Source organism: Homo sapiens, chromosome 16 (genome assembly GCF_000001405.40).
Source record: "Homo sapiens chromosome 16, GRCh38.p14 Primary Assembly".
NCBI lineage: Eukaryota > Metazoa > Chordata > Mammalia > Primates > Hominidae > Homo > Homo sapiens.
This window is the reverse complement of record NC_000016.10, coordinates 85,445,374-85,466,618: the sequence shown is the minus strand read 5'-3', so window position 1 is coordinate 85,466,618 and position 21,245 is coordinate 85,445,374. Positions and strand designations below refer to the sequence as shown.

Below are 21,245 nucleotides of genomic sequence, written 5' to 3'. Positions count from 1 at the left end.
GATACCACCGTCATTGCCACCCGCAGTGAGTCTTCAAGAATGCCAAAGGCATGGCCACCTGGCCCTATCTATAAGGCACCCAAATGCCATCCTCACCTCCCAGGGCTGCTAACTCCTCAGGACCGACGAGCTCAGCTGCCAGTGTGCGCCAGGAGGGCCCCTCTGAGGCCATGGAATCTCAGGGGCAGAGCCTGGCCTGGGCCCACGGGCGCTGGCAGCCATGACAGGGATCCGCAGGGTTCACACAGCCCCTGCCCACTCCCCAGGGGGTCCTGGGGGCCACTCCTCCTTGGGGAGTAATCACATCACCACGCCTGCGTGGCAACTGCTCCATAGCCCTTAATTTCCAAGCACAATGAGAGCACTCCTGGCTACCAGAGCCTGGGCCCTGGCAGAGCAGGTCAGCTGGCAGGCAGCCAGGTTACCACGACCTGGCTTTGGGGATGAGCCGCCCTTGTCCTTTCAACACTGACCACGTGTTCCACTCAAAGTGCCCGTGTTCTCACATTCCCACAGCCGGCTGCTGTCACTGAGATGTGAACCTGCCCTCTGGGCCCCAAAGGAAAAGCTAAGCTCTTAGGCTGGGTCCACACCGCTGCCAATGAGCTCATCCACCCACAGGACTTGGAAACAATTTTAAGGCATCCCAAAGTACAGACTGACTTCGGATGTGACTCCACTAATCATTAGAACAAAGTGCTCACTGAATAGCTGGGAAGTGAAGCCACTCATTGGTCTGGCAAGAAAAATGGTTACTCTCTAGTCATATGACAAACATTTATTGGGCACCTACTACATACTCAGTAGCTTGGAAGATTCTGAGATCAGAGTGTAAAGGATCTTCCCTTGAGGAACGTCTGTCTGATAGGGAGAGAAAATAGGTACAAATGTATGAATTCCACTGAGAAAAACAACAACATAGACCATGAGGAGGCAGGAGAGATGACTTATGGCTGGGTGGAGTCTGGAAGGCTTCTTGGAGGAGGTGGCATTTAAGCTAGGCCTTGAAGTATGGGGAGACGGTAGGGAGAGGCAGGAAGGGACTTCCAGGTGGAAGAAAAAATAGCAGCTGACATTTATGACACTGACAGTGTGCAGTCATTAACTGGACTGATGCACTTACCCCTAGCAGGGCAGTCCTGCCATCCCCATGGAACGAATGGGAGAATGTGGCACAGAGAGGTGAGGTCACTTGCCCCAAGTCACACAGCAGTAATGAAGGAGAACCCAGATGGGAGCCCAGGCCTGGCGCTGTTCATGGTTCTATTACATGCTTCCCTTACAGCCCAGGCACCAAGCAGAGATGCGAAGGGCCAGGGCGTGGCACAGAAGCAGCATGAGATTCGGTTGGCAGGAGAGCTGGGGAGGCAGGAGCTCCAGGTGGGCGGGGGCAGCCCATGGAGGAGCCCAGGATTCCCACCCAACCGCTGCATGCAGCCGGGAACCAGGGGCCGTCCCACACTCCTGGATATCGGAGTGACCGGATCTTTCTGGAGCTGAAGGAAGAGATGCCAGTGGCCACAGATGGCTGGCTGGGGGCGTGACCCTGAGTGGGACTGCCCAGGCTCCCACCAGCCTCTCCCGTCTGCACCTCACTAGCTGTGTGACCCTGAAAAACGAGCACACTGTTTCCTCACCTGCAAAAACGAGAGGGCACGAAGCCAGTGCCCTCCCCCTGATGCTGCCATGAGGACTGAGGCGTGACCACAGGTAAAGGACATAGGGAGGGCCCATTCTGTCTGCAAGGGGCCCCTACCAGCCCCTGTGGGCAGTCAACCCAGCACTTAACACAGGCCTCTCCAGCCGGCATCCTCCTCCCGGCCTCACTAGCTGGCCTTTGGAAACAAAGTGAGGGCCCTTCCAGCTCCACGCAGGTGGCCTCTGCACCTGGACAGGGGAGTTGGTGTGGCAGAGGAGGAGCAGCACAGGATCCAACCACCACACCCTGCAGGCCAGGTATACCCTCCGCCCGGGAGATGGTGGCACATTCCCGAGGCTTCGTGAGTACCCTGTGCAACCGGCATGACCATCACCCCTCGGGGGAAACAGAGACTCCCAGACACCGCATGACCAGGCCAAGGTCACACAGCTGGTGAGGCCGTCTGGGGGCTGCCGAGGCCCTCCTCCACCAGCCGGGCACCCGGAGGAAGGGCGATCAGAGGAAGCCAGGCAGAGGGGAGCCGTGATCAAACACCCAAATAAGAAGAGAGTTTTGCAGGTTCACTTAGCTTCAAGGAAAAAAGCCTCCCCTTTTCTCTAAGCGGCTGCCCCCCACCCCGGCCCCCCAGGAGAGCGCTGGAAACCACCTAAGCCGACATCTGATGGACAGGGATTTGTTTTAAGCTCTTTCTACCCACTGGACTATAATCATCAACCGTTCGCGACCTCTCCACAAATGACTCTTTCTCCCCCTGAGTTTTCAAAAGGCAAAAAGCTTTAAAAGCTGCAGTTCAAACAGGCAGAGAGGTGCACACAGAGAGAGGAGGGGTGGGCGGGCAGGCGAGGCAGCCAGGAGGGGCCAGGCATGGGGGATGGCGTCGTCCCCCCGCTGCTGGCCTGGCTCACCTGGAAGAAAAGGCCCGCAGGTAAGGGGCCCGAAGGTCAGGATGGGAAGAAGCAGTCCTGAGGCCAGCGTCCCCGCCCATTCTCTGTCACTGGAGCCACCCCAAAGGGACCTTGGTAGCCTGAGTTGCTGTTCATGGAAGGCTTCTCTCCATCCCTCACTCTGGCCGCCCCTCAGCCTGAGGACCTCAGTGGCCCACCGCCAGCTTCACACCCGCACCTGTGGCACTGCCCCAGGCCTCAGAGTCCCGCTCACCCTCTCTCCGATGGGACTCATGGCGCTCCCCACCCTCGGCGGGCTCTGTGACTCTTACCCTCTCGCTGCCTAACTGTGCCAGTGATGCGAGGCCTTGATGCCAGGAGTTCTCCCCAGAGAGCTGATGGGGCCAGGGAGGTGATCGGGCAGTTTGGGGAGGGGTAGGTTGAGAGTTCCAGTCCCACAACCCACCCCAGGTCCCACCTGTGCAAGCAAGAGGGCACGAAGTCCACACACAAGCAGCCCCATTTCCCACCTCCCGGGTCACTGCAGGCACGAGGGGCCCTGCCAGGGTTGGACCCACCTCCAGGAGCCGCATGGCCAGGCTAAGGCAGAGCCCTGCGGTGCAGCAAGCCCGGTGCCCGCCGGCCACTTCCCTACACGGGGTCTGAGGGCAGCCTCCCCCGGCTGCCTAGAGTTGGCCCAGGCACAGCCAGACCGCGGGGGTCAAGGGTTTTCTACTTGAGGAAACCAACCCAGGGCTTCTCTTCTGAGTTGACAGCATGAGGAGGCGGCGCTGGGGAGCACGTGCGTGGCCTGAAGGTGATGGGGCTGGAGGGCGAGGCTGGGTGAGTGCGGGGCCAGGTTCCAGCCCCGGGTGGGTGGCGCGCCCCAGAAAGTTCCATCCCGGACCCCCCACCCTCCCGTCCACGGGGCGGTGAGCTGGGCACTTACTGAGGTTCTGGAGCAGAGACGACCAGGTCTTCATGCCCAGCATCCTGCGCCGCCCCCCGGGCCGCGGGACCCGGGGCCTCTAGGAGGGGCTGCCCAGCATGGCCCGCGGCGGAGGCGAGCAGTAGGGGCGTCACGGGGCGGCAGAAGACGGGCCCGGAGGGGGCGGGGGAGACGGGGATGGAGCCCCGGGATTCTGCGGGGCGGCACGGAGCAGCCGGGGCGTCCCTGCGCGGTGCGCCCTGCCCGCGGCGTGGAGCCCGGGGAGGGGCCGGGGCGCCTGGGGGCCCCGCAGCCGCTCACGCCGCCCCCCGGCCCCGCGCCCCCGGCTTCACGCACCGCCAGCCGTGGCGGCGCGGCTGCCTCGCAGCCACCACCTCGTCCCCCGCCCGGCCGGCGCCGCCTCCCGCCTCCCGCCTCCCTCCCGCGCCGCGGCGCCCCCGCCGCCCTCCCCCGCCCGCGCTCCCCGGGCAGCCTCCGCTCCCCTGCACTTGATAACGCGCTTGTCAAGACTGCTGAGTTGTCCTGACCTCTCCCCGCCGCTGCTAATTAAGGCTCCGCCGTGACAGTTCAAGTGCCGAGCATCAAGTTTGCAGAACCAAAGCCTCTAATTGGGGCCGCTTTTCATTTCTCCATCCCCAGGGCTGGGGCTCCCCAGACCTGGGCACTGGCGCATTTTCTTTTGTATTTTTCATCAGGGAGGAGGGGGAGAAGGAAGACAGGCACCAGGAGAGGAGGGCAGGCAACCAACCAACAAGCTGAGGGTAGGGAGGGTGGAGGGCCCCCTCCTGCCCAGCAAAAGCCAGGTGGCGGCCACAGGACACCTCCCTACCAGACGACCTGACATCGCTTCTAACCCAGGGGTCTCTGAGCTCCCTGACCTAGGGCTTTAAGGAGCTGAGCCCATCCCCCAGGAGGAGACTGCAGGGGGACCTCCTGACACCGTGTGCTCTGGCAAGGAGGGGCAGACCCGAGACTGGGTGCTGGGGACAGAGGGTGTGTGTAGCTCCGGTGCCCACAGCCCTGCAGAGCACAGCCTCCCTGCCCCTGTGGGGAGGTGTGCTCAGCCTCGCGCCCCACTCCCCGGGGGCCTGCTGGCCTCTCCTTTCCAGATAAGTGCTGTGAGCACCGAGGCTCTAAGTGACTCTTCAAGCTGCCTTTCTCCTCCACCGCCTACTAAATCAAGCTGCGCTGAGAGCCATGGGCTGGGAGGAGAGCAGGAAGGAGGGGCAGGGCTGCCTGCCGCTCTCAGGAGCTGGGGAGGGGTGAGGGCTGGGAGAAGGTCCGGGAGGAGGGGAGGTGAGGAGGGGGCCCAGCCGCGGGGATGGAATAGGGGAGCTGCAGGAGATCTAGTGAGGCTGGCTGGCCAGGCCTCTCAGCTCTGAATCCTGGAGCTTCACGCAGCACGGGGATTATGGCTATCCCAGCCCACCGACTGCAGCCTGAGAATTCCAGGTGATCCTAATTAAAGGGGTGGGGGCTTTCATTTGAGCCACTACCCAGGCGATTCTTATGACAAGTCAAGTTTGAGAAACAACCATGTACACCAGGGGGTCTCGAACCCCTCGCAACAGATTAGAACCACCTGGGTGCTTTTAAACCACAGCGCCCCCTCCCCCCCTTGCGTGGGCCTGCCCCCAGACCAATGACATCACACCTCTGGGCATGGACCCAGCCATTGGTAGTTTCTAAAGCTCCCTGGGGGCTTCCAGTGCGCAGCCAAGGTAGAGATCCTTTGTTCCAAACCAGTGGCTCTCAAAGGGGGAGTGGGGGTTGTCCCCCAGGGCATAGTTAGCAACCAGTGTCTGCAGACATTTTTGATTGACACAACTGGGGGTCACAGCGCTGCTGGCACCTGGTGGGTAGAGGCCAGGGATGCTTCTCAACACCCTCCAGCAGACAGAACAGCCTCCAAACCAATGAATCAGCCAACCCCAAATGTCAACAGTCCCAAGGTTAAGAAACCCAGGGTGAGCCAATCCCCCACCAGGCAAAGGCCCTTCAGGAACTGTCCTCCACTGCGCCCAGCTCAGGGCTTGCCCGAAGCAGGTGCTCCCTAAGGGTGTGGGGAGAGAGGGTCCCTGGGTCTCCCTTCCCACTCCAGAGCTCACTCCTTCCCACCCGGCTGGCTGCCGTCAGCCTGTGACTGTTACAATTGCTTCCTGTGTTGAGCTGAAATCTCTTAACTTCTACCCCACTGGACCAAGCCCTTTCCCATCTGTCATCAGACTTCACGTCCTGATTTGCAGCCCACTCTCACGGTCCCCTGGGTCTGAACTGCTCTGGCAGACTCTCCCCACCCCCACCCTGGCTTCCTCAGCTCCTTCTCCATTGCCGTCCCTGGTTATGGGACGTTCTTTGGCCTGTAAACAACCTCCTTAAAGTGCAAGACCACAGGACCGTGTCTGCGCATGGGTGCTCCGCCCTGGCCTCCCACAGCCCCCGTCTCTTCAAGTCTTGGAAGTGACATTAGCTCGGGCAAGGAGAGGTCACTGCCGGCTCTTGCCCAGCTTGGAGCAGCCGAGGCCTCATTCACCCGAACCCCTAACAAGTGACGTCGCCCACTTTCTGCCTGTCAGTTTACTTTTGAAACGAAGTGCTGGGCTTTACATGAACTACCTTACATTTTGCCAAGTGCTTTCTTCCCATTGTCTAGCAGATTAGCAAGATAATGTGGTTTCCAAGGCCAAATCGTCCAGCGTCCCTCTCTTGAGGGTAAGCCCTGGTGGTCACCCCTGCTCGACGGGACAATTCGGGAAGTTTAAGAAAATACCAGGCTGGGCCGCACCCCTGAGCAGTTGTATCAGAATCTCTGGAGAAGGGGGTCCAGGTATCAGTGTGTCTCAAAGCCCCCCGGGTGGTTCCAAGATGCAGCTACGGCTGAGAAGGCTGCTGGAAGGATCAGGGACTCAAGGCCTCCTCCAGGCCAGCCCGTTTGACCTTGAACACACTTGGTGTTTCAGGCTGGAGTGTCTGTAGGGGAGTGTTTATCTGGTCAAGGGATGTGGGCCAGGAGATTGCATCCCCCAGGACATCGTGTCCTTGCTCATCGGAGGCCAGGCGCTGGGTGAAGGTATGTGCACTGCGGGGCCCTGGGGGCTCATGCACCCCAGCAGAAGGACAGGATCACAGGGAACAGGGTCTGCTTTCTGGCAGAAATGCTTTGAGAAGCTCCTGAGAGGAGCCAGGAGCCTGGACTGAGATCCAACCAGGCCATCCACTCACTGCGTGAGCTGGGGGAATCGCTCAGCTTCCCTGGGCGTCAGCAACCCCCTCTGTGAAGGAGGGGTGAATGCCTGTTCAGCCTTGCACAAAACAAGTGCTCAAGACCAAAGAGAGAAAGCCTCTGGGAAGGGAAAACAAGTCTTAACAGTGACTTGCCCGAGGCCACGTAACTTTCAGGGCCTCAATATACTCCTCTGCAGGGTGGGCAGACTGGGTTCAGTGACTCCGTGGAGTCCTCTACCTCTAATCCAGCCCTTGGCATGAACTAACAGATCTTAGCCACTCCACACTAAGCACATAGGCAAAAGGGACCAGGCAGAGCATGGAAATGGATGCCCTGGTCTCTCTGGAGTGAAAGGGCAGCTGAGTGGTTTGTGCTTTAAGCCCCTAACAGCCAATGGGATGGTGATGGGAGCCAACAAGAGCCCAGGGAAAAGGGCTGCCAAGTATAGTCGTCCAGATTGTTCACTGCACAAGAGCTCCTGGAGGAAATGGCAAGCGGGAGCTGAAACCCAAAGTCACTCTACTCTTCAACAACCAGCTGGGCACGGGATGGGTCTGCCTGAAGCAAGGGGTGCCTTCTAATTTGCACAAAGGAGCCATATGGGCTGGTGGTGGCTCTGTGGAGGGGCACCCACAACTCCTGCCTGCATGCATGTGGAGACACAGAGGGTGCCTGGGGGTGGCGTTTGCAATTGGCACGGTGGTTGTTCTAGATAGAATCTGCCTGCCTCTGACTTCACCCCGATGCCATCTTTCTGGGTGAATGAGCACAGGCGGCGTCAGAGGCCACTGTGTAAGCAGAGGATGATGAGCCGAGGCACCACAGGCAGCAGCCGACGGAAAGTCTCAGTCCCTGCCAAGGCCCTAGGCACAGGGTGGCAGGAGCGAAAGCGGCCAATACTCCTGAGAGTGGGGAGGGCACTGCTTGCCCCACCCAGACCTGCGGGCAGGTGGCACGGTTTATCCAGAGCAGGGAGATAGGTACCTCCTTGCTGAAGGTGAAGGAACACAGCTCCCCTCTGGCCTTAGATGGAGGGTTAGCAGTAGAAAGAGGAGGCCCCAGGCTCCCTGAACCCAAAGTGACTCTATCCCTCCTGCAGCACAGGGGACCTCATACTTTAAGAAGCACCAGGATCCCCAGCAGTGCTGGGGAGGACACAGCCTTGCTCTGCCACCCAGCGTTTCTCATTTAGCAGGTCTGGGGCGGGGCCTGAGAATCTGCATTCCTAATGAGTTCCCAGGACAACCCCACTTTGGGAACTGCTGCTGTGGTGTGATAGCCACCCGCAATGTGGAAGCCCCTGCCACTGGCCAGTAGGGCATCAACAGGAGATTCCCCTGGCCCCTGGGCCTCCATGCCCAGCTCAACCAGCCTCTCCATCTGGGCATCCTGGTACCTGGGACAGGGCCTCCATCTCTCCATGCCCCCTTCCAATGCCCTCCTGCTAGGGCAGTGTCTGCTCAGCTCTGGCTGCCCTGGGGTGCATCCTTCAGCTCCAGCTGTCGAGGGCTCCCCTCCAGGCACCTGCACCTGAAGGCCCATTCCTCCAAGCAGGGCCTCATTTACCTGTGGCCTTGAAGCTTCTACCTCAGCTGTGTCCTTGGGCTGCACTCCTCCCTGCTCCTTGAGGGCAGGACTGTCTGCCTTTTCTGAAGTGTCCCACGGCATCCAGCCGGGAGCGAGGCAGGGGGTCCCCAGAGCTGCAGGGGGTCCAGAAATGGCTGGCCCACTTCCAAGTGCTGGGAGGCCAGGTCAGTGCCGGCTGGTGCTGCAGAGGGGCCTCTGAGGAAGCCCGGAGCAGATTGTAGGGTTTGGGGAGTCAGATCACACCTGAGCACCTCACTAGAAGACAGCAACCAGGGTGCACCAGGATGGGGTCACTGCTGTGTGCCTCAGTCTCCTTACATGTAAAATGGGGTCAATAATAGCTACTTCAATCTCAGAGAAGGTATGAAAATTACACACCACCAATGCTACCACATCTCAGGATCGAATGAGGCAGTGTATGGAAAGCCTCCGCACAGGGCCCTGCACACTGCCAGTCCTTAATAAATGTTGGTTGCTGTTATTTTTACTGGAAAGCAGGGTTACCACCAAGCCTTGGTTATATTCTCCCCACATTCAGGGTGGCTCCCTCCACCCCTACAGCCTGCCACTCTGCCCAGCCGGGCTGAAGCTGGATGCCCGTAGGACAGAGGGTGGGGGTGCAATCACCCCCAAGTCTCCTTCCTGGGGCATGAGGACCTGGCTGGCAGCTTCACCCAACGAGGCAGGGGGTGCTGTGTGCAGGTAGCCTGGGGCCCTGGAGGAGCCCGTCCAGCCCTTGCCCTGCTCTCTGCATGCCTGAGCTCAGCCTCCACCAGGTCCTGGGACGATGACACATCTCATCACCACGAGGGAGACTGTGAAGCCTGCTGTGCCAACCCTACCGGACAGAGAAACCCAGGATGATCTGTATCCCTGCCCCAGGTCAGGGACCATCAGAGACAGCCTCTCCCCTGCAGTGGGCAAATGCTGGGACTCATGGCCAGGCTGACAGCTGCGGTCCAGTCTGGGGGGAGTCTCGCTGTCCCCCATCTGCCAGCTCAGGGTGGAGATGGACATGCTCCCTTCTCTCCTCCCAGAGCATCTTCCTTGCTCTGGGTTCCTGACCTTGCCCAGATAAGCTCTGACGGGGCCTCTGCCCTTCCACTCTCCTCATCCTTATCTGGCTATGTGCAATGCAATCCTGGCAGCCTCTAGGGCAGACCCCGCTGCCCTTTCTTTTGGGGTCAGAGGAAAGCGGGAGGCAGGAACTGCCTGGCTTACCCCCACAGCCACCCCGAGCAGGCAGTGATCTCAGGATGCCTACTGCTGAGGTTCATTTATCAGAAGATTCTTTCGAGCCCCCAGAAAGGAGGCTGCGGAAGCCCTTGGTCAGCTCTTCTGTCGGGAGTTGGTCTCTTGTGACTTAGCAAGGCAAGGCCCGTTTTGTCCTGGGCTGTGCTGTGAATGGCATCTTCTTTGAAAACACAGCCTGCCGGTGTCTCTCCTGTGAGTCCCACCGTCCCTGGCAATGGCGGGGCTTGGGAGTGTGGCGGGGCACAGAGGGCAGGTTCTCCCCGCCAGGACCCTGAGTCGCCACAGCAGCCTCCTAGCGGGCCTCTCACCCACCAGCGCTCACCCTGCTGCAGCCTCCCTCCCTGGAAATGCTTAATCTTCTTTAAATACCACTTAGCTGCCTCAAGTCCCTTCTGGAAGCAGAGCAAAAATGGCAGACCACACACACACACACACACACACACACACACACACACACACACACACACACACACACACACGGCAGGAAAATGACCCTCCCCTCCCTGTCCTCAGGGTGCTTGGGGATTTGCAGCGGGGTCCTGGTCCCTACCACACCACCCCGGACTTCGTGGCAGTGTGAAATGGTGGGCTGCGTGCTGCTGAAGGTACAAGCAATTTGGAAATCCCAGAGCATAATCTGGAAGGCAGAGGGTGGTAGAGATGGCTGAGCTCTCATGTTCCAGAACAAGCTCAAAGGGTCCCACCTCCAAGCGCTTCCTCTCACAGGGCCTCCCCACTGGAATGCCCTCTCTCTCTCCCACTTTGCCTCACTGGATTCTGATGCCCCAGCTCCACTGCTTCTCAAAGCCAAATGTAATGCTGATGACAGACCCCCTTTGCACCCCACGACAATATACCAGGGGTCTGGCCCAGGTGTCCTCCAAAATACTGTCCTACCCCTCGGTGACCCTCCTCTGAACCAGGACTGGGTGAACTCAGGGAGGCACAGCTTCCTCTGGACACAGATGAGGATGAGTTGAGAGGGAGGGCCAGCCACTCAAGTTCAAATCCTAGCTCTGTTACTTACAACTGGGTATCCTGGGGCAAGTCATTAACCTCTCTGAGCCTTAGTTTCCTCGTCTCTAAAATAAGGATGCTATGAGTTTATTCGCATTTGTAAGGCACACAAAGCGGGGCCTGACCCCAGAGGTGGGGGTGGGTCCCTGGGAGGGAAGGGCATTAGGCCAGGATGGGAGTTAGGCAGCAGGATGGGCTCCATGCAGGCGTGAGAGTGGAGAGAGAGCGTGACGCTTTCACCCCCAGACAGCTGCCTGCACGTGGATGGGTCACATTCCCCCCAAGCTTGTCAGAAACTGAGAGCAGAACTCCCCAATGTGGGAAGTCTTGGCCACCTGAAGTCTCGTGCGGGGGAGGCAGCTTGCAGCGCGCCAGGCTCCCTGAGTCTGTCTCTGATCTGAGACTGAGCCATCAATTCCAAACGGGGCTGAGTTGCAGCCCAGATAATCGGGGTCCCCCAAATGAGCAGAGGCTCTGCTTGCCCTTCTGTTTCCTGGGTAGCCGCTATAAACCCACACCGGCCTGAGCATGGGGTGTGAGGAGGGGACCATGGGGTCTGCTGTTACAACACCCCAGCTTCATCCCCAGCCCTACACTGGGTGGAGTTTCTTTTTTCTTTTCTTTTCTTTTCTTTCTTTCTCTCTCTCTCTCTCTCTCTCTTTTGTAATGCCAGGTCTTGCTCTGTCTCCCAGGCTGGAGTGGCAGTGGCACAATCTTGGCTTACTGCAGCCTCAAACTCAAGCGATCCTCCCGCCTGCCTCCCCAGTAGCTGGGATTACAGGCATGTGCCACCACGCCAGGCTGAGTGGAGCTTCAGAGTCTCTGTTTCCTCTCCTGTGAAGAGGGACCCTGGGTCACCTTGGAGGAGAATGAGGCCCTGCTCTGAATAACCATCCAATCTGCAGGTGTTTATTGCAGCCGCAGGGCGCTGCTCAGGCCATCACCCCAACCCGCTCCTCTGATGCTTACGAAGCCTCGTGGGATGCACCCGTGTCCCCATTTACGGAGGAGGAAACAGAACATAAGGTGCCTGCACAGAACCTGGCACCCAGGAGGTTGAGTTACGGCTCTCCAGAAAGATCTGTCCATACCCTCACCCTCCGCACCTGGGCAGGCGACCTTATTTGGAGGCAGGGGCTTTGCAGATGTGATTAACTTAAGGCTCCTGAGATGAGCTCATCCTAGATTAGGGTGGGCCCTAAACCTAGGGAGGAGTGCCGTTCTAAGAAACAGAGAAGGAGACGTGGACCCATAGAAGGCTGCATGATGATGGAGGCAGAGCCTGGAGTGACGCGTCTACACGGCAAGGAGTGCCAAGCCTCCTTGCCAAGCATGGCCGGCACCGCCAGCAGCTGGGAGGAAGGCTGGAACAGATCCTCCGCCAGGGCCTCCACAAGGAACGCGTCCTGCCGACACCTTGACTTTGGACGTCTCCAGAACTGTGGGAGAGTCAGTGTGTGTTGTTTTGAGGCCCCTGGTTTAGGGTGATTCATTATGGCAGCCCCGGGAAACTCATCCGGCATCTGCCCAGGAGCCTGGCTGCATGGATGCTCCAGGGAAAATGAGCCCAGCCAAAAGGGCACTGTGGGCTCAGCAGGGGAAACTAAGGCCCACTGGCAAGCCTGGCTGGCCACCCCTCCTGAGCCGTTCTGCCTTGGCTTGGAGCCATCTGCTGGCCGCTCCCCTGCCGCATGGGTAGCCCTCCAGGGCCACTGCCACCACCAGGGCTGAGGGCGAGGAACCAAGGGCCTGGGGCAGCCTCGGAGAAGCTCGGAGGGTATGAAAATTACACACCACCAATGCTACCACATCTCAGGATCGAATGAGGCAGTGTATGGAAAGGCTCCACACAGGGCCCTGCACGCTGCCAGTCCTTAATAAATGTTGGTTGCTCTTATTTTTACTGGAAAGCAGGGTTACCACCAGGCCTTGGTTATATTCTCCCCACGTTCAGGGTGGCTCCCTCCACTCCTAGAGCCTGCCACTCTGCCCAGCTGGGCTGAAGCTGGATGCCCGTGGGGCAGGGGGCGGGGGTGGAATCGCCCCCAAGTCTCCTTCCTGGGGCATGAGGACCTGGCTGGCAGCTTCACCCAAGGAGGCAGGGGGTGCTGTGTGCAGGTGGCCTGGGGCCCTGGAGGAGCTCATCCAGCCCTTGCTCTGCTCTCTGCATGCCTCAGCTGAGCCCCCACCAGGTCCAAGAGTGCCAAGCAAGTGGGGCCGGCCGAGGTCAGACACCTGGGGGTCCGCCCAGAGCTGGATGGGGTGCGACCGCCTTGTGCAGAGGGAAAAGGAGGTCTAGAGAGGGAGGGCGCTGGATGAAGTAGGATCCCCCCACAGGAAAGGCAGTGGCGCCCCCTCTTCTCAGCCCCCTGAGCTCTAGACTTCAGGACAGGAACTGCCCACCTGAGCCTGGTCTCATGGGGTGAGGGGCACAAACCAAGCCCTGCCCTCAACAGCTGGGGCTCCAGGAGCCACACCCAGCCCCAGGGTCACCACCTGAGGGACCTGCTACTTCCACCCACCGACCTCCTCCTGATGAAAGAGGTGCCCTCACACCTAAGCTGGGACCCAGCCCCCACAAGCAGCCCCATACCCCAACCCTCCCTGCTGCCTTGCTTCCTACGTCCAGCCACCCCGGCATGCACTGTCACTGCCTGGCACGCCCCAGCGCCCGATGCTGAGTCCTTTGTACACACTGCGTCCATGCACCGAGCAATCTGCCCAGCCTCCGCGGAGGGAAGGGAGGTAGAGGAGGGTGGGCGGGCTGCTCAGGGTCCCCGAGCCACCGTGTGACTTTACCACAGAGCTCCCCAAAACAGCTTTCCTTCACACCCCCATCAGCCGTGCCAATGTCTAAATCTAGAACCTTCCCCCGATACGGGAGCTGGAAAGGACTGCCTGGCAGTTGCTAACCCCCTGCCCCCATTTTACAGGTGGGGGACCCAGGCCCAGGAGCTTCCGTGACTCATCTATCCAAGATCACACAAAATCCTGGTGTCCCTCCGCCCTGGACCGGCAGCGTCGGGGACAGAAAACCAAAACACAGGCAAATTGCCAAACCACACAGCCAGAGAAGCCAGAAAGCTCCAGGGAGGACCCTCAGTGCCCACAGGGTGGGGTTGGAGGCACCGAGCGACCACCCAGTCCCCCACCCAGCACTGCAGCACTCACCTAGCCCAGCGCCTGGCAGAGGGAAGGGCCCAATCCCTGTTTGTTCACAGAACGAACGGGGGAGAGAGAACGCCAATCCACTACCACTGCTGGGAAAGACACCCGGAGTTCTGCACCGCCCACCAGGGGTCTCTCTCCCAGGACCTGTGCTGAGGGTCTCTGGGTTCAAATCCTTCCCTGAATTTCAGTGAGGCCTTAAGGAGGAGAAGACCACAGGCCTCCCACAGGTGGGAACAGCCTGGGCCCACTGGGGCAGGGGATTCCGAGGAAGGAGGCCCTTTGAGATGCAGCAGCACCCCAGGCTTCCAGGAGAATCTGCGTCCTTTAGACCAGGGGCTTCTGGGCCCCGCCGGGGTAGCTTTGAAAAATCCCAGTGGCCTTGCCACAGTCCCAGATCAACCAACTTAAAAGTCTGCGTGAGTATGGCCTGGCCATCTGCATTTGTTAGAGTCTGTCCCTAGGTGATGCCCTGAGCTGCCAGACAGAGGGAGAGGTGGGGGCCAGAGTGGGAACACACAGGCTCAGCACCCGCTGTTAATTACCGGGGCCCACTGGCACGTCCCAGCTCATGAGGGTTGGGTAAATAAATAAATAACCGCGCTGGCAGGGCCATCAAACATCATCACATTAGGGACGCGAGGAGTCAGACAGCTTGACTCTCAAAACATAATCGGCTTAATTGCGGGGCCCCGATGCAGGCCAGGGTGGCAAACGGCTTCAGCACTCCCATTCGTTTCATTAAAATCCAATTATTCGCGCCGGACACGGGTCTCTCTGGCGGGGACAAAGATGCATCTTCAGCCATGGTCTAACCTGACACCGAGACACGGACCTTGGGTGGGGACGCTTCTTGCTTACAGCACATGGACCCAGTCTCCCTGGAACCAGAAACTCGGTGAGGGGGGGAGGCAGGCAGAGACGGGCCTCTTGGGTGGCCTCTCAAGCCAGGTGGCCTGTTATGAGGAGCCTAGCAGTGTGACTGTGGGCTTCAGTGTCTCCACCGGGCAAACCATTTGTGGTGCATCCATACAGTGGTGCACTGCTCTAAAACAGGAAGGAACCAACCACCAGCGCAGGCACCAACCACCACCAGCGCACGCACCAACCACCACCAGCGCACGCACCAACCACCAGCACACACACCAACCACCACCAGCGCACGCACCAACCACCAGCACACACACCAACCACCACCAGCGCACGCACCAACCACCAGCACACACACCAACCACCACAAGCGCACGCACCAACCACCAGCACACACACCAACCACCACCAGCGCACGCACCAACCACCAGCACACACACCAACCACCACCAGCGCACGCACCAACCACCAGCACACACACCAACCACCACCAGCGCACGCACCAACCACCAGCACACACACCAACCACCACCAGCGCACGCACCAACCACCAGCACACACACCAACCACCACCAGCGCACGCACCAACCACCAGCTCACGCACCAACTTAGATGGGTCTCAACCCTGGCACACTCAGCACAGGAGTCTTTGTACTGAACGCCTCCGCCTACATGACATCCTAGCAAAGGTGAAACAATCAAGTCAGAAAACAGACCCGTGGGTGCAGGGGCTGGAGGTGGGGAATGACCACAAAAGGACACCATGGAATTTTCTGCAGTTGGAGGCAAAATTTTGTAAATTATGGTGGTGGTTTTGCTGTATATGATTGTGAGAATTCACCAACTGGTACGCTCTAAAAAGACTGAACGCTCTTGTGCGTAAGCTATATCTGAATAAACCTGGCTTTTTTTTTTTTTTTTTTTTTTTTGAGATGGCGTTTTGCTCTTGTCACCCAGGCTTGAGTGCAGTGGTGCGATCTTGGCTCACTGCAACCTCTGCTTCCTGGTTTCAAGCAATTCTCCTGCCTTGGCCTCCCTAGTAGCTGGGATTATAGGCACACACCACCATGCCCAGCTAATTTTTGTATTTTTAGTAGAGACAGGGGGCAGGGGGATGGTTTCACCATATTGGCCAGGCTGGTCTCGAACGCCTAACCTTAGGTGATCGGCCCACCTCGGCCTCCCAAAGTGCTGGGATCACAGATGTGAACCACCGTGCCCGGCCAAACCTGGCTTTTAAAAAATATGTAAGGTGGGCCGGGCGAGGTGGCTCATGCCTGTAATCCCAGCACTTTGGGAGGCCAAGGCGGGTGGATCACAAGGTCAGGAATTCAAGACCAGCCTGGCCAAGATGGTGAAACCCCATCTCTACTAAAAATACAAAAAAAGTAGCTGGGCATGGTAGCGGGCGCCTGTAATCCCAGCTACTTGGGAGGCTGAGGCAGAGAATTGCTTGAACCTGGGGAGTGAAGTCTGCAGTGAGCCGAGATCAGGCCACTGCACTCCAGCCTGAGTGACAGAGTGCGACTCTGTCTCAAAAATAAAAATAAAAAATAAAAAATAAAGAAATAAAAAAACAGTAAGGTGGCTGGGCACGGTGGCTCATGCCTATAATCCCTGTACTTTGGGAGGCCAAGGCGGGCAGATCACCTGAAGTCGGGAGTTCGAGACCAGCCTGACCAACATGGAGAAACCCCATCTCTACTAAAAATACAAAATTAGCCAGGCATGGTGGCATATGCCTGTAATCCCAGCTACTTGGGAGGCTGAGGCAGAACTGCTTGAACCCGGGAGGTGGAGGTTGTGGTGAGCCGAGATCACACTATTGCACTCCAACCTGGGCGACAAGAGCGAAATTCCGTCTCAAAAAAAAAAAAAAAAAAAAAGTCAGCTGCCTAAAATAGAACTGGCCACAAAGTACCCACCATGGTAACAGGGTTCCCATTACATGGGGACAGCTGGGTGCAGCTGTGTGGTTCCGATTCTACACCAAGGGGCTGAAGACAGAAGGCCACTGGGGCTGAGACTAGGCCCTTCCTTTTGGGCCAAGCTGGGAGCCCTGGTGGGCATGGTGTGGCAGGAAGGGCAGCGGCAGGCAGAAGAGGCACAGCACAACTTTCTGTGTTTTATTCCCCACCAGGGAAATGATGATTATTGTTGTCATCATCAGATTTGCAAGGTGGATCTTCAAATGCAACCCTTCTATTTTGCAGGAGACAGGATCAGAGAAGTCAAGCGATCTCTCCAAAGTCACACAGCAGCGATCCAAACCCCAGGCATGCTGGCCCCAGTGCCCCCAGCTCACAACCACTACACCTGGCCCCTCCTCAAAGGCTACCAGTGTTTCCTGAATGCATCTCAGCTGGGCTGGGAACAAGGCATTTGGGCTTCATAAGCGTCCATTCCGGAAGAGAGGGCAGGAGCTGCCGCCCACTCCGATTTCCAATCAATCTCACTTGGCAAGCGTTGCTTACTTCATCTGGGCCTATGGAAATTGGATTCTCAGGTGACCCTGTGGCCAAAGGTGGCCAGACAGGGCCACGACCGCAGCCGGATCTGGGAGCCGGGGCTCTGATCTTCCCCGCCCCCCATGCGGCCTCGGCCCAGCTGCCGGCTGCCATCCCAGGGAGGCCCTGAGGTTTCCCAGCCATCCCTTGGCTTTGTTTTTCTGGGCCCTTCCAGGCCCAGAACCATCCAGAAAAGTCGGTTAGGCCAGGAACAGCTGCCTGGCGCCTCTTGAATGGCTCAGATGTGGTGCGCGGTGGGGCCCCAAGCCAATACACTGCCACTAGGTGAAACGGGCACCATTAGAGTCACAAAGACCAATTAAAATGAGAGGAAAAACAGCCTTCCGTTCTCCCAGGGCACCCCGGCCAGCTGCTCCCTGCTCCCACCTCACTGGCCCCAGGGGCTGCTCCCGGCCCGGTTTCCAGCCCGGCTCCCTCCTGCGCCCGGCCACCTGCCTTTGACAGAGTCAATATTGACGCCTGAGAGGCCTCCTGCTCAGGCGAGTGAGGGCTGAGCGGGTGGAGGGGCGGGGAGAGGCAAACAGCTCCTGGATTTTCGACTCAATTGCTGCGCGTAGAGATGAGAAATTGCCTTTCTGACCCAAAACCGGAGTTCACAGCTGCACTTCATTACCGATTTCTCCAGGAGGCCCTGGGAGAGGCTCGGCTCGGGAAGGGCTCACCTGTTAGCAGCAGCTGCCGCCTGCCTCTTTCATAAACACGTTGGTGGTTTCCTGCCCCGGGTTGCAGGGCCGGGGATGTGGGCGGCGTGGGGCGGGCTGCCAGTGGTGCCCCCGGAGCCCCCCTCCATCGCCCCTGCCAGTTTGCATTAACTTGGCAGATGGAGGGAGGAAGAGGCGCCAGATAAGCGTGCAGGAGGGACAGGAAATGGCCACAGGGTCGGCTCTGCTCACTTTAGAAGGGACCAGAAGGTGAGAGCACATCTTCCCCCTGGGGTCCCGCCTCATCTCTCAGTCTCATGTCCACTGCACAGGGCTAACAATAGCATGACAGGTGACTGGAGCATCTCCAGGTACACAGTAGGCACTCAGCAAGCACTCTCTCCCCTCCTGGCTTGCAGCTGGCCTCTCTGCTTTTGAAACACCACCGTTCGGTATCTGGTCATCACTCAAAGAGCACAGGGTCTTGCACCCCAGGGGTCTTCCACCCTGGCTGCACAGCAGAATCATCTGGAGAGCTTCCGGAAAGATCCCGAAGCCCAGCTGTACCCCAGAATCCCTAAGCTTGGGCCCAGGTATGTTTCCAGAGCTCCTGGGCAGCTGGAACACAAAGCGAGGCTGAGACTCTCCGTCTGGGATCATTATTATCTGGATCTTCAAGTCTGCACATCCTTTTCCAGAGAAGGTGATGCGGGCAGGGCAGGCGGAGGAGCCCAGAGCTGGGTACACGACTGGGAGGAGGCAGAGGGCTGATGAGCCCTCGCTGGCTGCCAGGTGCCCTACGCTTCCTTCCCAGCTCTGCTTCTCCCTCTGCCATTAAGATTTGCAATCCTGTCCCCTACACTAAGCCACAGCAAGCCCTGAGGTATCAGCAGCTGCCTCGAGTCGCCCACCAGGAGCTGGCAGTGAGAAGCTGTGTGACCCTGGGCAAGTCACTTGAGCTCTCTGGACCTTTGCTGATGAGGCTGGAGACTGAACCAGATGGCCACTGAGCTGTGTGAAAGGCACCTCAGGGTCTGACCTCACACCTAAAGGTGCAGGTGGCTGCTCCCTTTGGAAGCCTCAGCAGCTCACTGCCAGTCTTTCTTCTCAATTCAGCCTCCACTGCTGGGTACCTGGGTGATCCTACAGAAGCTCCGAGCCCCACAGAGCCTCCGTGGCCTCATCTGGTTAGTGGGAAGATGTGACACCTCACAGGGTTGCTGTGAGGGTGAAATGAGGAAACAGGCACGGAGCAGGCGCCTGGCCCATGATGGTGACAGCTGGTGACAGCTGGTATGTGCTGAGCACCTGCGTGAGCCAGCTCCGTAGCCAACCTGAGTCCTCCGTCCTCACAGCGCACCAGTGTGGCTGGTTCCTTTAACTGCCCCGTTTTTCAGATGAGAAAGTCAAAGTCCAGAGAGGTCATCTGCCCAAGGTCAAGTGGTGAATCTGGGACTTGAACCCTGAACTGTGAACCCCAGCTCCTGGCCACCACGTGTTTATATGAGCCTTCTTCCAGTGCCTTCTCAGGGCCACTGGGGCCTCAGAGTAGCCAAAAGAGTGGTCCAAGAAAGAATCCTTGTGCGGAAACAGGGCCCAGACCACGGAGGGCTGGGGGTGCTGCACACTCCTAACTAGTGCCTTCTTGCTTGCAAAGCAGGCAAGGTGGGCCCGGCATGGCCCCAGGTGCTGGGAGGGCCCATGACACGGAGGCCCAGAAAGCAGCAGGGCAGAGGGCCCAGAGTGAGAGGCCCGAGCAGGGTCACTGCTCAGGGCAGGCTGCTTTGTGTCCTGGCTCAAAATAGAGGCTCAGCTCAAGGCGTGTGGCCCATGGAGCACCCGACATTGTGCTGGAGGGGTCGGACGAGCCAAGCTGAAGGGCATGGGGGTGCAGGGAGCAGGCACACAGAGCAGGAGGAGGGTGTGCCCGTGCAGAGGGAACGGAAGGCCAGATGGGGACAGCGGGAGCGGGGTTGCGGGCCCTGGGAGGAACCTCGGGAAGCTCCAGTGAGGAAACGGAGCCTAAGACAGATGAGCCAACCTGCCCAACGCACCCAGGAAGCCAAGCGGAACAGGACGCAGGCTACCGCCTCCACCATGCCCGCTCTTCCCTTGTTCCTCCGTTCCCCAGGGCTGAGCTCCAACACACGGTAGGTCTCCCTGCCATGCAGGCAGAGAACCCGCTCGATGGCGTCTACTGAGCCACCCACACCCCATAGGGGTCGAGCCCCACCCCGGGCTACCCTCTGCTCTCCACTCCTGCTGCCGTCCTTCCACATGAGCCCGGTCATCGCAGAACCCAGAGCCAACGCTGGGCCCACCGGGGGCTCCTGGCAAACAGGAGAGCCACCAGCAATGCCGAGTGGGGGGACATCACCCACCCATGCCTATCACGTGCCAGGCGTTGGTCCAAGAGCTTACAGCAGATCGTCTCCAGCACTATGAGGTTCAGTTCTGTTTTTATCCCTGCTTGACAGAAGGGGAAACCGAGGCAGAGAGCATTGCAGCTACCGCCCAAGGTCTCACAGCTGAGAGACCATGAGGTAGTCAGACCATCTGGTCCCAGAGCTCCCACGTTCAACTGATGAGTGGAGGACACAGCAGAGGCCTTGTTGTCCTGGGAAATACAGGTCCTCCGGGGAACAGGCCCCGACGTCGCAGAGCTGAGGCCAAACAGCTCCCTGCCTGGTGGGATGCCAGGGCCAGGCGGGGCTCTCTGGAAGCAATCATACTACCAATCAGGCTGCTCATGGCGCTGATACCAGCAGCTAATGTTTACAGAACGCTCACTGTGTGTGCACCCAGGCACTCTTCCAAATGCTACACGCACAGCCGTTACCCGTGGAACCTCCCAAGCCTGTTAGGTAAATGCCATTATTTGCCCATTTCACAGATGGGGCACTGGCAGCACAGAGAGGTTAGGACACCCGCCTGAAGACACACAGTTACTAGGTGACAGTGCCGGGATGTGAACTCATCAGCCTGACCCCAGCGAGCTGCAAGGCGGGCCCCCAGCAGAAATCCCACAAGGGCAGCATGGCTGCAGGGGCCAATGGGAGCAGGCCAGCCACCCACCAGGGCGGCTGGGGGGAGCTCTCCCTCGAGCCAGGAGAGGGCTGCTGCTGCTGGCGCGCTCCCCGAGAGGCCAGGCCTTGCAAGGGAAGCAGAAATCTGTCGTTAACACAGTGCCAAACCCAAAGTGGCTGCTCCCAAACTGCAATCCAATAAAAGTGCGACTTGTCTATTTATCATCCTCAGGGCTTTTTATCACAGTGCAGATGGCTGCTACCTTTGGAAGGCTCAGCAGATCGCTGCCAGCCGCCCGCCACGCAAAGCTTAGCTCAACAGAATCTGGGCCTGCACCTGTGAGGGGTCTGGGGACTGGCCGCCCCCCCTCGCTGTGCGTGGCCGCCAGCGAGCACTCTGAGGGCTGGTCCAGCCCACCTTTCCTCAGCCTCTCC

At 58.9% G+C, this 21,245-nt stretch overlaps 1 protein-coding gene and 1 long non-coding RNA gene across 10 annotated transcripts in view, besides 9 other annotated features; one reads left to right on the top strand and one right to left on the bottom strand.

The window, feature by feature from the left end:
- The window catches only part of GSE1 (Gse1 coiled-coil protein), a 506,689-nt gene that overhangs the window by 209,582 nt on the left and 275,862 nt on the right, over positions 1-21,245 (bottom strand). For 2 of the 8 annotated variants that reach the window (XM_005255863.5, XM_047433831.1), the window contains exon 1: positions 3,494-3,870. The exons of the other annotated variants lie outside the window; for them this stretch is intronic. In XM_005255863.5, the coding sequence (XP_005255920.1) occupies positions 3,494-3,536 (43 nt within the window). In that variant the 5' untranslated portion in view covers positions 3,537-3,870. Of the gene's footprint in view, positions 1-3,493; positions 3,871-21,245 lie in introns of those variants that run through there. 8 annotated transcript variants of the gene reach the window in all.
- Positions 1,425-2,130: an enhancer, noted in NCBI's record as "H3K4me1 hESC enhancer chr16:85498095-85498800 (GRCh37/hg19 assembly coordinates)". NCBI's record gives its function as "activates a minimal SCP1, AML or CMV promoter by ChIP-STARR-seq in naive H9 embryonic stem cells {active_cell/tissue: H9 hESC(naive)}" and the evidence as "EXISTENCE:reporter gene assay evidence [ECO:0000049][PMID:30033119]".
- Positions 2,839-3,546: an enhancer, noted in NCBI's record as "H3K4me1 hESC enhancer chr16:85496679-85497386 (GRCh37/hg19 assembly coordinates)". NCBI's record gives its function as "activates a minimal SCP1, AML or CMV promoter by ChIP-STARR-seq in primed H9 embryonic stem cells {active_cell/tissue: H9 hESC(primed)}" and the evidence as "EXISTENCE:reporter gene assay evidence [ECO:0000049][PMID:30033119]".
- Positions 3,951-21,035, top strand: LOC124903738 (uncharacterized). Of its 2 annotated transcripts, none has more exons than XR_007065156.1 (2): positions 3,951-13,975; positions 16,829-21,035. It is a non-coding gene; the product is annotated as an uncharacterized LOC124903738 (long non-coding RNA). The 2 variants fall into 2 exon arrangements; XR_007065157.1 differs by having other exon boundaries at positions 3,951-14,643.
- Positions 4,962-5,669: an enhancer, noted in NCBI's record as "H3K27ac-H3K4me1 hESC enhancer chr16:85494556-85495263 (GRCh37/hg19 assembly coordinates)". NCBI's record gives its function as "activates a minimal SCP1, AML or CMV promoter by ChIP-STARR-seq in naive H9 embryonic stem cells {active_cell/tissue: H9 hESC(naive)}" and the evidence as "EXISTENCE:reporter gene assay evidence [ECO:0000049][PMID:30033119]".
- Positions 5,670-6,376: an enhancer, noted in NCBI's record as "NANOG-H3K27ac-H3K4me1 hESC enhancer chr16:85493849-85494555 (GRCh37/hg19 assembly coordinates)". NCBI's record gives its function as "activates a minimal SCP1, AML or CMV promoter by ChIP-STARR-seq in primed H9 embryonic stem cells {active_cell/tissue: H9 hESC(primed)}" and the evidence as "EXISTENCE:reporter gene assay evidence [ECO:0000049][PMID:30033119]".
- Positions 6,377-7,085: an enhancer, noted in NCBI's record as "NANOG-H3K4me1 hESC enhancer chr16:85493140-85493848 (GRCh37/hg19 assembly coordinates)". NCBI's record gives its function as "activates a minimal SCP1, AML or CMV promoter by ChIP-STARR-seq in primed H9 embryonic stem cells {active_cell/tissue: H9 hESC(primed)}" and the evidence as "EXISTENCE:reporter gene assay evidence [ECO:0000049][PMID:30033119]".
- Positions 7,720-8,371: an enhancer, noted in NCBI's record as "H3K4me1 hESC enhancer chr16:85491854-85492505 (GRCh37/hg19 assembly coordinates)". NCBI's record gives its function as "activates a minimal SCP1, AML or CMV promoter by ChIP-STARR-seq in primed H9 embryonic stem cells {active_cell/tissue: H9 hESC(primed)}" and the evidence as "EXISTENCE:reporter gene assay evidence [ECO:0000049][PMID:30033119]".
- Positions 13,973-14,473: an enhancer, noted in NCBI's record as "H3K4me1 hESC enhancer chr16:85485752-85486252 (GRCh37/hg19 assembly coordinates)". NCBI's record gives its function as "activates a minimal SCP1, AML or CMV promoter by ChIP-STARR-seq in naive H9 embryonic stem cells {active_cell/tissue: H9 hESC(naive)}" and the evidence as "EXISTENCE:reporter gene assay evidence [ECO:0000049][PMID:30033119]".
- Positions 14,487-14,986: an enhancer, noted in NCBI's record as "OCT4-H3K4me1 hESC enhancer chr16:85485239-85485738 (GRCh37/hg19 assembly coordinates)". NCBI's record gives its function as "activates a minimal SCP1, AML or CMV promoter by ChIP-STARR-seq in naive H9 embryonic stem cells {active_cell/tissue: H9 hESC(naive)}" and the evidence as "EXISTENCE:reporter gene assay evidence [ECO:0000049][PMID:30033119]".
- Positions 17,960-18,049: a silencer, noted in NCBI's record as "silent region_7806". NCBI's record gives its function as "represses an Ori minimal core promoter by ATAC-STARR-seq in GM12878 lymphoblastoid cells {active_cell/tissue: GM12878}" and the evidence as "EXISTENCE:reporter gene assay evidence [ECO:0000049][PMID:35858748]".